This window comes from Homo sapiens, chromosome 6, assembly GCF_000001405.40.
Source record: "Homo sapiens chromosome 6, GRCh38.p14 Primary Assembly".
Taxonomy (NCBI): Eukaryota; Metazoa; Chordata; class Mammalia; order Primates; family Hominidae; genus Homo; species Homo sapiens.
The window spans coordinates 53,487,059-53,502,695 of NC_000006.12; the positions used below are offsets into that span (position 1 = coordinate 53,487,059).

Consider the following 15,637-nt stretch of genomic DNA (forward strand, 5'->3'; position numbering starts at 1 on the left):
TCGAATGGTAATCACACATTTAGTTTTATAAGAAATTGCCTAACTGTTTCTTAGAGTGGCTGTACTATTTTATATCCCCACCAGCAACACACGAGTAATCAGGTGTCCTGTGTCCTTCCCAGCATTTGGTATTATCACTAGTTTTTTATTTTAACTCTTTAAATAGGCAAGTAGTAATACTCATTGTGGTTTTAATTTGCATTTCCCTAGTGGCTAATGATGTCAAACATCTTTTCACGTGCTTATTTGCCATCTGCCTCACCTCTTTGGTGAAATAGTTCTTTTATGACTTTTGCCCGTTTTATGATTAGATTGTTTGCTTTTCTCTGTTGAGTTTTGAGAGTTCTTCCCATATTTTAGATATAAAGCCTTGACATATTTTACTTTTAAAGTACACATCAACACTGGATTGTGAGCAGCATAACATACGTGGTACATAGTTGGAAGTAAAGCTCTCCTCAGCAAATGTAAAAGAACAGAAATTATAACAAACTGTCTCTCAGACCACAGTGCAATCAAACTAGAACTCAGGATTCAGAAACTCACTCAAAACCGCTCAACTACATGGAAACTGAACAACCTGCTCCTGAATGACTACTGGGTACATAACGAAATGAAGGCAGAAATAAAGATGTTCTTTGAAACCAATGAGAACAAAGACACAACATACCAGAATCTCTGGGACACATTCCAAGCAGTGTGTAGAGGGAAATTTATAGCACTAAATGCCCACAAAAGAAAGCAGGAAAGATCTAAAATTCACACCCTAACATCACAATTAAAAGAACTAGAGAAGCAAAAGCAAACACATTCAAAAGCTAGCAGAAGGCAAGAAATAACTAAGATCAGAGCAGAACTGAAGTAAATAGAGACATAAAAAACCCTTCAAAAAATCAGTGAATCCAGGAGCTGGTTTTTTTGAAAAGATCAACAAAATTGATAGACCGCTAGCAAAACTAATAAAGAAGAAAAGAGAGAAGAATCAAATAGACGCAATAAAAAATGACAAAGGGGCTATGACCACCGATCCCACAGAAATACAAACTACCATCAGAGGATACTATAAACACCTCTATGCAAATAAACTAGAAAATCTAGAAGAAATGGATAAATTCCTTGACACATACACCCTCCCAAGACTAAACCAGGAAGAAGTTGAATCTCTGAATAGACCAATAACAGGCTCTGAAATTGAGGCAATAATTAATAGCTTACCAACCAAAAAAAGTCCAGGACCAGATGGATTCACAGCCAAATTCTACCAGAGGTACAAGGAGGAACTGGTACCATTCCTTCTGAAACTATTCCAATCAATAGAAAAAGAGGGAATCCTCCCTAACTCATTTTATGAGGCCAGCATCATCCTGATACCAAAGGCTGGCAGAGACACAACAAACAAAGAGAATTTTAGATCAATATCCTTGATGAACATTGATGCAAAAATCCTCAATAAAATACTGGCAAACCGAATCCAGCAGCACATCAAAAAGCTTATCCAGCATGATCAAGTGGGCTTCATCCCTGGGATGCAAGGCTGGTTCAATATATGCAAATCAATAAATGTAATCCAGCATATAAACAGAACCAAAGACAAAAACCACATGATTATCTCAATAGATGCAGAAAAGGCCTTTGACAAAATTCAACAACGCTTCATGCTAAAAACTCTCAATAAATCAGGTATTGATGGGACGTATCTCAAAATAATAAGAGCTACCTATGACAAACCCACAGCCAATATCATAGTGAATGGACAAAAACTGGAAGCATTCCCTTTGAAAACTGGCACAAGACAGGGATGCCCTCTCTCACCACTCCTATGCAACATAGTGTTGGAAGCTCTGGCAGGGGTAATCAGGCAGGAGAAGGAAATAAAGGGCATTCAATTAGGAAAAGAGGAAGTCAAATTGTCCTTGTTTGCGGATGACATGATTGTATATCTAGAAAACCCCATCGTTTCAGCCCAAAATCTCCTTAAGTTGATAAGCAACTTCAGCAAAGTCTCAGGATACAAAATCAATGTGCAAGAATCACAAGCATTCTTATACACCAATAACAGACAAACAGCCAAATCATGAGTGAATTCCCATTCACAATTGCTTCAAAGAGAATAAAATACCTAGGAATCCAACTTACAAGGGATGTGAAGGACCTCTTCAAGGAGAACTACAAACCACTGCTCAATGAAATAAAAGAGGATACAAACAAATGGAAGAACATTCCATGCTCATGGGTAGGAAGAATCAATATCGTGAAAATGGCCATACTGCCCAAGGTAATTTACAGTTTCAATGCCATCCCCATCAAGCTACCAATGACTTTCTTCACGGAATTAGAAAAAACTACTTTAAAGTTCATATGGAACCAAAAAAGAGCCCACATTTCTAAGTCAATCCTAAGCCAAAAGAACAAAGCTGGAGGCATCATGCTACCTGACTTCAAACTATACTACAAGGCTACAGTAACCAAAACAGCATGGTACGGGTACCAAAACAGAGATATAGACCAATGGAACAGAACAGAGCCCTCAGAAATAATGCCACATATCTACAACTATCTGATCTTTGACAAACGTGACAACAACAAGAAATGGGGAAAGAATTCCCTATTTAATAAATGGTGCTGGGAAAACTGGCTAGCCACATGTAGAAAGCTGAAACTGGATCCCTTCCTTACACCTTATACAAAAATTAATTCAAGATGGATTAAAGACTTACATGTTAGACCTAAAACCATAAAAACCCTAGAAGAAAACCTAGGCAATACCATTCAGGACATAGGCATGGGCAAGGACTTCATGACCAAAACACCAAAAGTAATGGCAACAAAAGACAAAATTGACAAATGGGATCTAATTAAACTAAAGAGCTTCTGCACAGCAAAAGAAACTACCATCAGAGTGAACAGGCAACCTACAGAATGGGAGAAAATTTTTGCAACCTACTCACTTGACAAAGGGCTAATATCCAGAATCTACAATGAACTCAAACAAATTTACAAGAAAAAAAACAAACAACCCCATCAAAAAGTGGGCGAAGGATATGAACAGATACTTCTCAAAAGAAGACATTTATGCAGCCAAAAAACACATGAAAAAATGCTCATCATCACTGGCCATTAGAGAAATGCAAATCAAAACCGCAATGAGATACCATCTCACACCAGTTAGAATGGCAGTCATTAAAAAGTCAGGAAACAACAGGTGCTGGAGAGGATGTGGAGAAATAGGAAGACTTTTACACTGTTGGTGGGACTGTAAACTAGTTCAACCATGTGGAAGTCAGTGTGGCGATTCCTCAGGGATCTAGAAGTAGAAATACCATTTGACCCAGCCATCCCATTACTGGGTATACACCCAAAGGATTATAAACCGTGCTGCTATAAAGACACATGCACATGTATGTTTATTGCAGCACTATTCACAATAGCAAACACTTGGAATCAACCCAAATGTCCAACAATGATAGACTGGATTAAGAAAATGTGGCACATATACACCATGGAATACTATGCAGCCATAAAAAATGATGAGTTCATGTCCTTTGTAGGGACATGGATGAAGCTGGAAATCATCATTCTCAGCAAACTATCCCAAGGACAAAAAACCAAACACCGCATGTTCTCACTTATAGGTGGGAATTGAACAATGAGAACACATGGACACAGGAAGGGGAATATCACACACTGGGGCCTGTTGTGGGGTGAGGGGACGGGGGAGGGATAGCATTAGGAGATATACCTAATGCTAAATGACGAGGTAATGGGTGCAACACACCAACATGGCACATGTATACATATGTAACAAACCTGCACGTTGTGCACATGTACCCTAAAACTTAAAGTATAATAATAATAAAATTAAAAAAAAATGTGGTAGTAAAATATATGACAACAGTAGCGCAGAGAATGGGAGGTGGTGGGTGAACGTGTACTCCTCTATGGTGTTTCCTTGTATATGAACTGATTTAGTGTTAGTCTATGCTTAATTGTAGTAAGTTAGAGATGAATATTATAATCATTTAAAAATATGCAAAGAGATACCTTATTTATTTATTTATTTATTATACTTTAAGTTCTGGAATACATGTGCAGAACGTGCAGGTTTGTTACATAGGTATACACGTGCCATGGTGGTTTGCTGCACCCATCAACCCATCACCTACATTAGGTATTTCTCCTAATGCTATCCCTCCCCTAGCCCACCCACCCCCTGACAGGCCCCAGTGTGTGATGTTCCCCTCCCTGTGTCCATGTATTCTCACTGTTCAACTCCCATTTATGAGTGAGAACATGTGGTGTTTCGTTTTCTGTTCTTGTGTTAGTTTGCTGAGAATGGTGGTTTCCAGCTTCATCCATGTCCCTGCAAAGGACATGAACTCATCCTTTTTTATGGCTGCATAGTATTCCATGGTGTATATGTGCCACATTTTCTTTATCCAGTCTACCACTGATGGGCATTTGGGTTGGTTCCAAGTCTTTGCTATTGTGAATAGTGCTGCAATAAACATACGTGTGCATGAGTCTTTATAGTAGAATGATTTACGATCCTTTGGGTATATATCTAGTAATGGGATCACTGCGTCAAATGGTATTTCTGGTTCTAGATCCTTGAGGAATCACCACACTGTGTTCCACAATGGTTGAACTAATTTGCACTCCCACCAACAGTGTAAAAGCATTCCTATTTCTCCACATCCTCTCCAGCATCTGTTGTTTCCTGACTTTTTAATGATCACCATTTTAACTGGTGTGAGATGCTATCTCATTTTGGTTTTGACTTGCATTTCTGTATTGACCAGTAATGATGAGCTTTTTCCCCATGTTTTTTGGCCCCATAAATGTCTTCTTTTGAGAAGTGTCTCTTCATATCCTTTGCACAGTTTTTGATGGGGTTGTTTGGAGAAATCATTTTTAAATACAAGATATTATTAATAGAGGACATAAAATAGGATACCAAAAGATGACAGGAAAAGTGCATTAAAGGAAAGAGAACATTAGAAACAAATAGGAAACTAACAAGATGGTAGACTTAAACTCAACCATATCAATTATTACAGTAAATGTTAATGAACTAAGCACTTCCATTAAAAAGGATAAAAAAAGAAAGACCCAACTAGAAGCTGTTTAAAGGGAAACACTTTAATTCTAAAATCATAGCTAGTTTGCAAGTAAAAAGATAGAAAATATTTATTATGTAAGCACTAATTGTAAGAAAGTTGACATGGAGTATTAATATCAGACAAAGTAAAGTTCAAAACAAGAGTATTCCTAGAGATTAAAAAGGGATACTTTATTATGATAGAAGGATCAATTCATCAAGAAGACATACAATTCCTAAGTGTGAAGATACCTAACAGAGCTTCATAGTGTATGAGGCAAAAACTGACAAAACTATAGAGAAACAGACAAATCCACAATCAAATTTTGGGATTTTAACATTCCACTCTCAGTAATTGAAAAAAAAGTAGGCAAAGAAAAGCAGCAAGGATACAGATGATTTGAAGAACATTATCAAAAATTCAACTACTAAAGAAAACTACACACTATACACACCAATTATATATTATTCTGAAGTGTACATGGAATATTCATCAAGAAAGACTGTACCCTGGGCTATTAAAAGGTCAAACATTCAACACATTGAAATAACAGAATATTCTATGATCAAAATGAAACTATACTAGACATCAATAATAAAAAAGACATCTAGAAAATTCCCAAAGGTTTTGAAATGAAGCCACATTCTACTAAGTAACCCATGGCCAAAGAAGAAATCACAAGGGATAGTAGAAAACACGTACGAAGAACAACAATGAAAGTACAATATAACCGAACGACCAAGATGCAGCTAAAACAGTAATAAATGTGAAATCCACAGTTTTAGCTACTTATTTTGGAGCACAAGCATATTTCTATTTTAAAATGAGAATGGAAAAATATATTTCGATGTGGAATTTCGTTTTATAGCAAATGCGCTCTGAATGTCTCTGTGAATTGAGGAATATTTGTACACCAAATGAAATAAAAAGGCACCTACTGAAAAGATCGCTAGAGGGCACTATTATCAAACTTCCAGAGGAAACAGTTTTTAGTGTGGATAACTTAAGAAATGTTGTTAGCTCTAAAACTGACTCAAGATGGCATTGAGATTTTATTCCTCTGTTTTATAGATGAGACAATTGAGGTCCAAAGAAAGGAAATGACTTGCTTAATATCATACAAACACTAGTTGTAGAGTCAGAACTAGAACCCCAGTCTCCTGACTCATTAGAGAATCACATCATGATTCTGCACAAACTCAGACAGACCCAGACTTTCCTATACACTTGTGGCAAATGAGAGGCTCTTTTCCACTGGGGTTGCCCAGCTACTGTAATGCATGCCTGGCGTTGCTGGAGCTGCTGGATAGGGCTGGGCACTGGGGGAGTGTGCTCTATGGAGAAAGCCTGCCTGAGAGTGAAACCGTTATAGTGGAAGGTGTAAGCCAGGAATCGGGAGACGGGACTTGAGAGCATTTGAGCCAATAACCTGTGCCTGAAGCTAGTGCCACCTCTTGGACGTTTCTGTGATATTAGCTGGTAGGTTTTCTTTTTTTCTAAAGCTGGTGGGTGTGGGGGTTTTCTGTCACTTGCATCCAAAATTTCTGAATATGCCAAGCGTCTCTACTTTGCAGAAAGACCAATAGTATTCAAAACACATGGCTTTATTTTGGACAAAGCCAAAAAAGGTTCTGGGAAACTCACCAGGACTGTTTGAGAGGTGATAAAAACATATGAAGAGCTTCTCATGTTTCATTTTCTAGAAATTTTAGATCCTAAGTCATCAGTATGATTGTTTTTCTCTGCTGACTTCATTGCATTCTTGGAAGGCTAAATTATTTCAAAGGAGACTATTAAGAAAATGTGTGTTATATACTGGTAGAAAGTAGATGCAGGTTGTGTCGTCTTTAATATAATAGTGTTGTCACACTCTCCAGGGGCAGAGTAGGGAGCAAACATGGCTTGCCTGAACAGTTTATGTCCTTTGCTTTTATGTACATTGCCTTATTTCCACCACATAGCAAATCGGCGAAGTGTTCTCATGTCTATTTCACAGATGATATATAGACAAAGTCTAAAGTCACCCAGCTAGTATGTATAAATATTAAGATTGGAACTCAGTTCTATACTTTTGCTTTTATGCTAGAAGTACTTGTATCCTGTCCCAACACAATGCTGATAAACTTCCTAGGAACTTCAGAATGAATCACTTTTGATTGAGATGTTGGCTTTTAAACTGCTTTCATTTGCCATGATGAAAGTGTAATGTATTAAAAGGGCATAAAAATGCAGTTTTTCAACACATTCGCCACGCTATGATACAGTTTGGCTGTGTCTTCACCCAAATCTCATCTTGAATTGTAGCTCCCATAATTCCCACGTATTGTGGGTGGGACCTGGTGGGAGATAATTGAATCATGGGGGGCGGTTTCCCCCATACTGTTCTCATGTTAGTAAGTCTCACGAGATCTAATGATTTTATAAGGGGTTTCCCCTTTGGCTTGATTCTCATTCTCTTCGCCTGCTGCCATGAATGACGTGCCTTTTGCCTTCTGCCATGATTGTGAAGTCTCCCCAGCTGCGTGGAACTGTGAGTCCATTAAACCCCTTTTTCTTTATAAATTACCCAGTCTCAGGTATGTCTTTATCAGCAGTGTGAAAACGGACTAATACACTAGTTTTTGCTCAGAAAAGTTTCTTTTCTCCTTCCTCCTTTCTGAACCAGTTTAACCCACATTTTGCTTCTGTTTGAGGCATAACAAACCCAAAATGTGTAAACTGCCCTCATCTTAAGTGTACAGCCAGTCATTTTTAAACATCTTGATATCCATGAATCGTCACCCAGATTGAGATATAAAACATGTCTAGCAACCTAGAAGTTTGTCTCTTTGGTACTTGTTCATTTCCATCCAGAGGTAACAGGCTGGAGTCCAGTGGCATGATCACAGCTCACTGCAGCCTCGATTTCCTGGGCTCAAGTGATCCTCCCACCTCAGTCTCCTGAGTAGCTAGGACTGCAGGTGCACACCACCACATCCAGCTAATTTTGTTTTGTAAACATGGGGGTCTCATTATGTTGCCCAGGCTGCACCCAGCTCACGGTTCTCTTTAATGCATCTTCCATACTTAGATTTGTAATGTTTCATTTTATAGAATATTGAGAATGAAAAGGGGCTTGCTTTAGGGATTATCTAGCTTATCTCAGCCTCTGCTTACCAGGAAAGCACAATAGTGAGGAATATATGTTTCCCAGCCAAGGTTGCCCACCAAGGCCTCTTCACTTACAGTAGTCCTTTCCCATTCCCTTCTGTTATGGACTGAATGTCTCCCCCAGATCCCTGTGTTGAAGCCTAACCCCTAGTATGAGGGTATTTGGAGTTGGGGCCATTGGGAGGTAATTAGGTCATAGGGTGGAACCCTCATGAATGGGATTAGTGTCCTTAGATAAGGAGAGATACAAGAGAAATGATCTCTCCAACACATGGGACGCAGCAAGACAACCATCTGCAAACCATGAAGAGCGCTCACCAGGAGCTGAATCCGCCAGTGCCTTGCTCTTGCACTTCCAGCCTCCCTAACAGTAACAAATGTCAGTTGTGTAAGTCACTCAGTCTGTGGTAGTTATAGCAGCCTGAACTGAAACATCTTCTTACACTTCCATAAGTATCACTTGGCATGTACTTCCAGAATTGTTTATAGGAAATGTTAAATATTTATACGAAAGCATAATGGAGAGAAGACAGCAGCTGATAGAACTCAGTGGCTTATCTTCAGGGAAAGCAGGGGAGGCTTAACCCAAACAAAAAGCTCATTAGCAGGGCCTCTGAAAATCATGCAACTGAGCAGCTTATTTACAGTTCTGAGAAGGACCCCCTCATCTAGCCAAGCTCTGAAAGGCCCTGGCACCACAGGTCCCCCTCCCCCTGGCCTCTTTCCCCCATGTCAAGCACTACAATGGCTTGAAGGACACTTATTTCCACATTTTCTCTTCACGAGACTTCAGGTCCCCAAGAAACCTTCCAACTCCTCAGAATATGGCCTAACCCACAACACATCCTGGATTTCTACGTCTCCTAATTTTTGTTTTGGGTGGTGATTTGGAAGGAGACATCCAAGGCAATGGATTTTCCCTCAATTTCTGAACTGAAGGCTCACAGACAGCCTCAGAGATGAGCTGAGCAGCAGAGGCATCCTGGGACCAGGAGGAAACCTCTTATTCACACAGGGGACTAGATGAGCAGAAAACTAGTCTTTAGGTTAGCAGCAGGTTAAGTAACAATCAGTTGTATCCCAAGTTAGGATCTGAAGGTCTGGGCTTGGCCACAGGTATTTCTACCAAGGAGAAAGCACTTTTTGCTTGTTTTAAGATTTACAGTTCTGTTCCTAAAATCCCAAATTCTTAGCTGTGTTCAGATGGTAAAGCTCATGAGAGCTGTGAGGCTTACATTCTCTGTCCTGGAGAAAGAAGACCACTATCTGGTCTTTAATAAGAGAAAATGTAGACATATCACATTAGACTTAAAAGCAAGTGTTATTTGAGACTTGATATTGATGTGTCCATAACTCAGGTAGAGAAAGTCCTTATTATTCATGGGGCCAGCAAATCCACAGCATCAGCATCACCTGGGAGCTTGTTAAGAAATGTGGGCCCCACCCCAGACTTACCAAGCCAGAATGACACCCCAAAGAGATTTGTATGTAGACTACAGTTTGATAAGCACTGCCCTAGGAACATTCAAATAAAGAAATTAGAGCTCTGAGAAAAGTGTGTTTCTCAGATGAACATTATTTCACGAACTCTGTGTGTGTGTGGGTGAATACTGATCCAAAGACAGGAGTCGAAAACAGCTCTCTGCAGGACTTGCTGACTCACAGTCTAAGTATCTCCTGCTTAGAAAAGTATCTCCTGCTTAGACTGCAGTGTGCACAGCACCCAGGTTACTCAACATTCATTCACCATGTACCCACTGACCCAGCACAACAGCAGTTGGGAGTAAAAAAGAAAAAAAAAATCTTCCAGTGGCACAGCAGTCAATTCAGTCACACTTCAAGTTCTTTCTCCCCACCGGGGTTGATAGCTACTAGGGGAGATACGGCATCTGTTTGTCTTCATCACTATGCTTCTTTCTAGAAACATCTGAGGTCGCAATGATGAAAAAATAATTTCATGGTATTTGGGTTAATTACAAAAACCAAACTCTTCTACTATTTGTTTAGCTGTGGAACTCACACACACTCAAAGGTTTCTGAATGAAAGCTAATTCCATTCTTTTATTTCCTCATACCACAAACATTTCAATTTATCTGCCTTTTTACAACCTGATTTACACAAGCAAATTGCAAACGAAAACCAGGCATTCTTTAATCATCCAAAATGCATGTATAAAATATAGAACAAACCCTAGTATTTAAACATAAACAGGGTTAGCTGAAGCAGCTTTATTGCAATCTCTTCAAGTTAGCATATTACAGTTTAAATATTTATGCCTGTAAAGATCTGCATAATCTACAATACAGAGTTATTTCAGAAGCAGTTGACTTAACTAGTTGAGAAAAAAAACAACAAACTTCAACGCAAAGCTATAATAATTATCTGAAACTTATTTACAATTAAACATTTAGGGTCCTGATTTACAAAACTCAGTGCCTTTCATGATTTATTGATGAGTTTTATAGAGAAAGTAAGCAGTATGTAGAATATTCCCCAGGTAAAATCTGGAGTGAATGGCTTTTAGAGGAAAGTCTATCAGTATGCTTAACTAAAAACTAAAGAGTGACAAAACTGTATACAGCAGCAATCAGAATAACAGGCCACAAGAGAAGAACGCCATTTTTGACAATATCCTTTGTATGTATAGGAAGAAAAATGATTGCCACCCCCCACCCCTGCCGCCAACTTTTTTAGTTAAAAAAAAAAATTGTCCTTAATAATCACTACATGTGAATTCTGGGTAATAATCTCCTTTCTTTCTATAGAGTTGTGTTTAAACTTAATTCCTGCATCAGCAAATTTAAACAAAGAAAAGTTCCTTTGATAACAGCCATCAGAGTTCAATGGGTATTTATTCAGAGGGGAAAGCTTGGGGCAAGGTGACCAAGTGATTATTCCAATTGCAAAAGAAACATCATAGATAAGGTGCTAGAAACCCAAGATTACCCTTGAAGCACTTTCAATGGATTCAAGTGATTTAATGTAGACAACAAAGGAAATGACAAAGGAAAATTAACGAGAGAAAATGTTTTTAAAGAGAAAAATTTCAATAAATCAGGTCCCAGGTAGTCTTTAAAAGAACAAAAATTTACAGTAAACATTTTAACTCTGGAATGCAAGTATTGTACAATTACCAGTACATTTACAAAACTGCTTAGACAGTAGGTTGCTCCAGAGTAAGAATTTAAAAATGTACAAGCCAGTTCATGATGACTTTAGATATGTTATTAAAATACATTGTTAATCAAAAATACTTTACTATGTACATGTACACTGTATAAACTCTAGATTTACCTACCAAAGAAAGCCTTAATCAATTTCTGGCTCACTGGCCCAGAAAACAGTACAGTTCTATCATTTGGTCTTCATATTATACACACGGGCTGGCTGAGAGGCATGGTACTGTAGCCAGTTCGTCAATAATGCATTTTTCTTTCTGTAGAATGTCTAGTTGGATGAGTCAGTTTTACTTCCACTATATTTTACTTTCCTAAATGCTGATCCAAGTAACTCTGGGCATTCACATAATTCATTTGCAATTTGGTTACACTTCAAAATAAGGCTATAATTCATTTCATCAGTTATGACACTGTCTTGCTTGTAGTCAGGATGGTTTGCGATAAACTCCCTCATCCATCTGGCAACTGTCATTAGTTCTCCTGTGGGCGAGGGGGGAGCGAAAAAAAAATTAAAACCACGTAAGTTTTTTTTTTAATAAGTTGATATTTAGTGGTCAGCATAAACACAATTCTGGAGAGAAATCAATATGTCCTTTTAGTGTAGCTGCATGGCAGGGGGTGGGAACATCTTTCATAGCGTTTGAAGAACTCCTCCTGGGCAGGAATTCTAGGTTGCAGGCAGGCAATGAGAACACATACATCCAGTTTCTATGGTACCTGTTAGATGCCACCCATATGCTGACACTGCCAGCTCTTAAGGAACAGGAGCCAGCACATGTGTACAAGAACATGTGCCCTCCCATTTGGCCAGAGGGCTAGGACTACAAATGCCAGTGTCATGAGACTGCCTCAGAGGACTGTAGGGTCCTTGAGCGATCTTTGATCAAAGAGGTGGAGAGAATAAAGAACAGTAAGTAGAGTGAATGAAGTGGGAAATTGGCAGTATACCATTTGAGGGGTGAGGTAGGGTTCTACGGCTATCCTTTGTGACTCCAGAAAGTTTACAGAAGCCTTGAGTTAAATACAGATGCCATTACCATTATTGCTGTCACTTTATTAACAGCTGACAGCTCCCTTGTGCCAAGTACTGTGTTAGCAGTACTTGGTTACTGTACTGTATTGTAAATGTAACCTCCTCAAAACTAACAAAGAAAGGGGATTCTCAGGAGCCTCACTGTATGTACAAAGGCAGGCTAAAGAACTGTTCAGCTTATTTAACTTACAGAGTTCCTTAGCCCTATAAAAGGGCCCATGATGATGTAAGATCAACACAGTTGGACGTAAATGATAAGTAAGCAATCCAGATGCCATTTCATCATCTAAGATGCCAGTGATTTTCAGATGCACCCCTATTTTATGAACTGATAAGAAAAAAAGCACTACTAATCTAAATTATGAGTGTCAAAGATTATAAGGTGAATACAATTGCAGAAATATAAAAATGTGAAACTGTGCATGAATACAGCATTATTTTAAAAGACTACTTTAAGAAATTGAACATTCTAAGATTATACCATGCTGTCTATATTATGAGATTAAGAAAAATAGATATCATACCAGATGCTCTCTTCTTAATTAGCTTTAGGTAGTTCAGAATACTACATCTGGTGTCCACATCCACTTCCATGTTTTCAAGGTAAGAGTTCAGAATTGGGATCAGTCCAGGAAACACACCTTCCTACAAGAAGCAGGACACTTTATGAACTCCCTGCCGGGGGATGTGCACAGTGAGGGGTACTGTACAGGGCCACCCTCCTACCTTCCCATTGATGATGGTGTCTATGCTCATGAGGGTGTACTCCTCTGCAGCGAGCTCCGTGCTGTTCTGGGCCTTGCCACAACCATCCACCACTGCATTGCCACCTGCCGGAGAAGAGGGTCAGGGGAGCTTTAGCAGCTTGTTGCAGCATAAGCTGACATTAGAAATCTAAGATAATGTAATACCTTTGCAAATATCTTTCCTGAAATAAAACATTCCCTGCAAGACAGCATCTCTTTTCTGTGCTACCTTCATGTTCTCATCAACCTAAGGGAAAAAAAGAATCACGACTAAGTCAAAATATTCTTGATCAGACATACAAGTTGCAGCACCTTCCTCACCTTTGCAATTAGGACTCATTCCCTTAGGGATTCTACTTTCTGCTCAAATGCTTCCCAGTGGGAGGAACAGGCTTTTTATTTATGTGAGGACTGTATCACTCAATCATGGATTGGTATGTGATTTTTCAACCAATCAGGGAATTTTAAGAGAAACTTAAAACCCAAAACTTATATTCATGTGGAACGTCTGCATTTCAAAGCACCTCTGTGACTGAGCCTTGCAACAGATATACAGTGTTGGGAGGGCAGGTGGCTGGTTCCCTTTATATAGCAGTGTCTCACCAGGAGTCCCAGGGTAACGAAGGCAGAAGGCAGGACTAGAACCCAGTTCTTCTTCTGTTTTTTTGAGATGGAGTCTCGCTCTGTTGCCCAGGTTGGAGTGCAGTGGTGCAATCTCATCTCACCCCAACCTCTGTCTCCTGGGTTCAAGCAATTCTTTGTGCCTCAGCCTCCCAAGCAGCTGGGATTACAGGCCTGCACCACCACACTCGGCTAATTTTTTTGTATTTTTAGTAGAGACGGGGTTTCACCATGTTGGCCAGGCTGGTTTCGAACTCCTGACCTCAAGTGATCTGCCCGCTTCAGACTCCCAAAGTGCTGGGATTACAGGCGTGAGCCACCGCGCCCGGCCTATAACCCGGTTCTTCTAAGTTGAGTGCTCTTCCCCTGCTGCCTCGCCATTGGGGTTTTGCCTCCCCACTTTAGTGAGGAAAGGCAAAGACAGTTCATAGGTTGTCATATCTGGAATAAGGTTACAGCCCTCCCAAGGGCAGAAGATCACTGCTGTTTTACCCATCTGGTGCCTCCGGACATGTAGACTCACTCATGAAACCGAAAACTGTTTTATTTGTGAATTCTCTGTATCTCCAATGACTTTTTAAGACTCTCAAAGCAGAATTTAAAAAACGTTTTAGTAGTAATCCCTTATTTTCTATAATGAAATCTTATGTGGGACCTCAATATATACAACAGTGACCAGTTAGAGGGCCAGGCTGACATGGGACAGATGGTACATAAGCTCTCTTGATTACCAAGTCTCCTCCCATATTCATTATGCAGGGAGTGCGATTGTTATGGTTTCATTTTTTAAGAGACACACAGGACCTTCTGAAGAATCTAGATACTCTAGGAGCATACTCAAATAAATAGTATACATTCCACCATGGCTGTGAACATCTGCTTTCATTATTAATATTTGTTTCTTTTTTCCTTAGTCTTGAAAAAAGTTCATAACGACCACTTATAATTTGTGCTTTGATGACTTCCTTTCAAAGTATATTTTACTTTGCTCTTTAGATACTCAATGACTTAGATTTAAAATCTTTTTGTTAAGACATTTAAAGCTATAATTTTTCCTTAGACATCAGCTCTGCCAGCATGTCTTTCACTTTCCTACACAATCTGTAATTCTAGTTTTGGTTAATCTAAAATCTACTTGGAAAGACATTTTTAATTTCCAATGTTAAATTTCTCCAGAGTATCTCTTTCGTTGAATTTTAGCGGGAACGCATGCTGTATTATGTCTACTTTTGAGAAGTGAAGATTTTCTTTAATTTTTGTAAATCTTACTCATGGCATTTGAAAAAAGATGTGGTATGAGATACGTAATATACGCATACAACCAAGCTTATTAACCATGCCTTTAATTCCCCCATGGCCTTTCCCATCCTTTGATTATATGGCCTGTCAGTTACTGAGTAACATGCAAGGTACTCTGTTAAGTGGTTTACCTCCATTAATCCCCACACGGGCTTACAACAGCCTACTTATTCCCCTCTGGGATACATGTGGGAAACTGAGGCACTGAGAATAAGTCACTTGTCCAGGTTAAAAGCCTAGTAAATAGTACCAGGGATTTATGCATTTAGTTCTCACATCAAAGCCATGTATTACCCATCACACTAAACTCTTTTCATGTTACATTTCATGGTACAAAAAGGACCACAGCTTTCACATCATCTTGGAAGAATATATAAAACTGCTTTCTCTATCCCATTTAATAATTTCTACCTCACATTTTGCCTGATATTGCTTTGCCATTCCTGCTATCATTCCAAAAGGTCACTATGCAGCTCTTGTCGGCATCTGTCCTTGTTCTACGTACATCT

The 15,637-nt window shown here is 39.2% G+C and overlaps 1 protein-coding gene and 1 long non-coding RNA gene across 5 annotated transcripts in view; one reads left to right on the forward strand and one right to left on the reverse strand.

Annotated features, from left to right (window-relative positions):
- The window catches only part of GCLC-AS1 (GCLC antisense RNA 1), a 75,418-nt gene that overhangs the window by 55,565 nt on the left and 4,216 nt on the right, over positions 1-15,637 (forward strand). The window contains exon 1 of one of the 3 annotated variants that reach the window (NR_183319.1): positions 6,452-6,578. The exons of 1 other annotated variant lie outside the window; for it this stretch is intronic. This is a non-coding gene — a long non-coding RNA (GCLC antisense RNA 1). Of the gene's footprint in view, positions 1-6,451; positions 6,579-7,546; positions 7,630-15,637 lie in introns of those variants that run through there. One more of the 3 variants, NR_183320.1, reaches the window with a different exon arrangement.
- GCLC (glutamate-cysteine ligase catalytic subunit) overlaps positions 10,283-15,637 on the reverse strand; it is a 47,761-nt gene continuing 42,406 nt past the window's right edge. For both annotated transcript variants that reach the window (NM_001197115.2, NM_001498.4), the window contains 4 exons: positions 13,374-13,455; positions 13,189-13,292; positions 12,987-13,107; positions 10,283-11,909 (listed from right to left, as the gene is read on the reverse strand). In NM_001197115.2, coding sequence (NP_001184044.1) covers positions 11,698-11,909; positions 12,987-13,107; positions 13,189-13,292; positions 13,374-13,455 — 519 coding nt within the window. In that variant the 3' untranslated portion in view covers positions 10,283-11,697. The remainder of the gene's footprint in view (positions 11,910-12,986; positions 13,108-13,188; positions 13,293-13,373; positions 13,456-15,637) is intronic.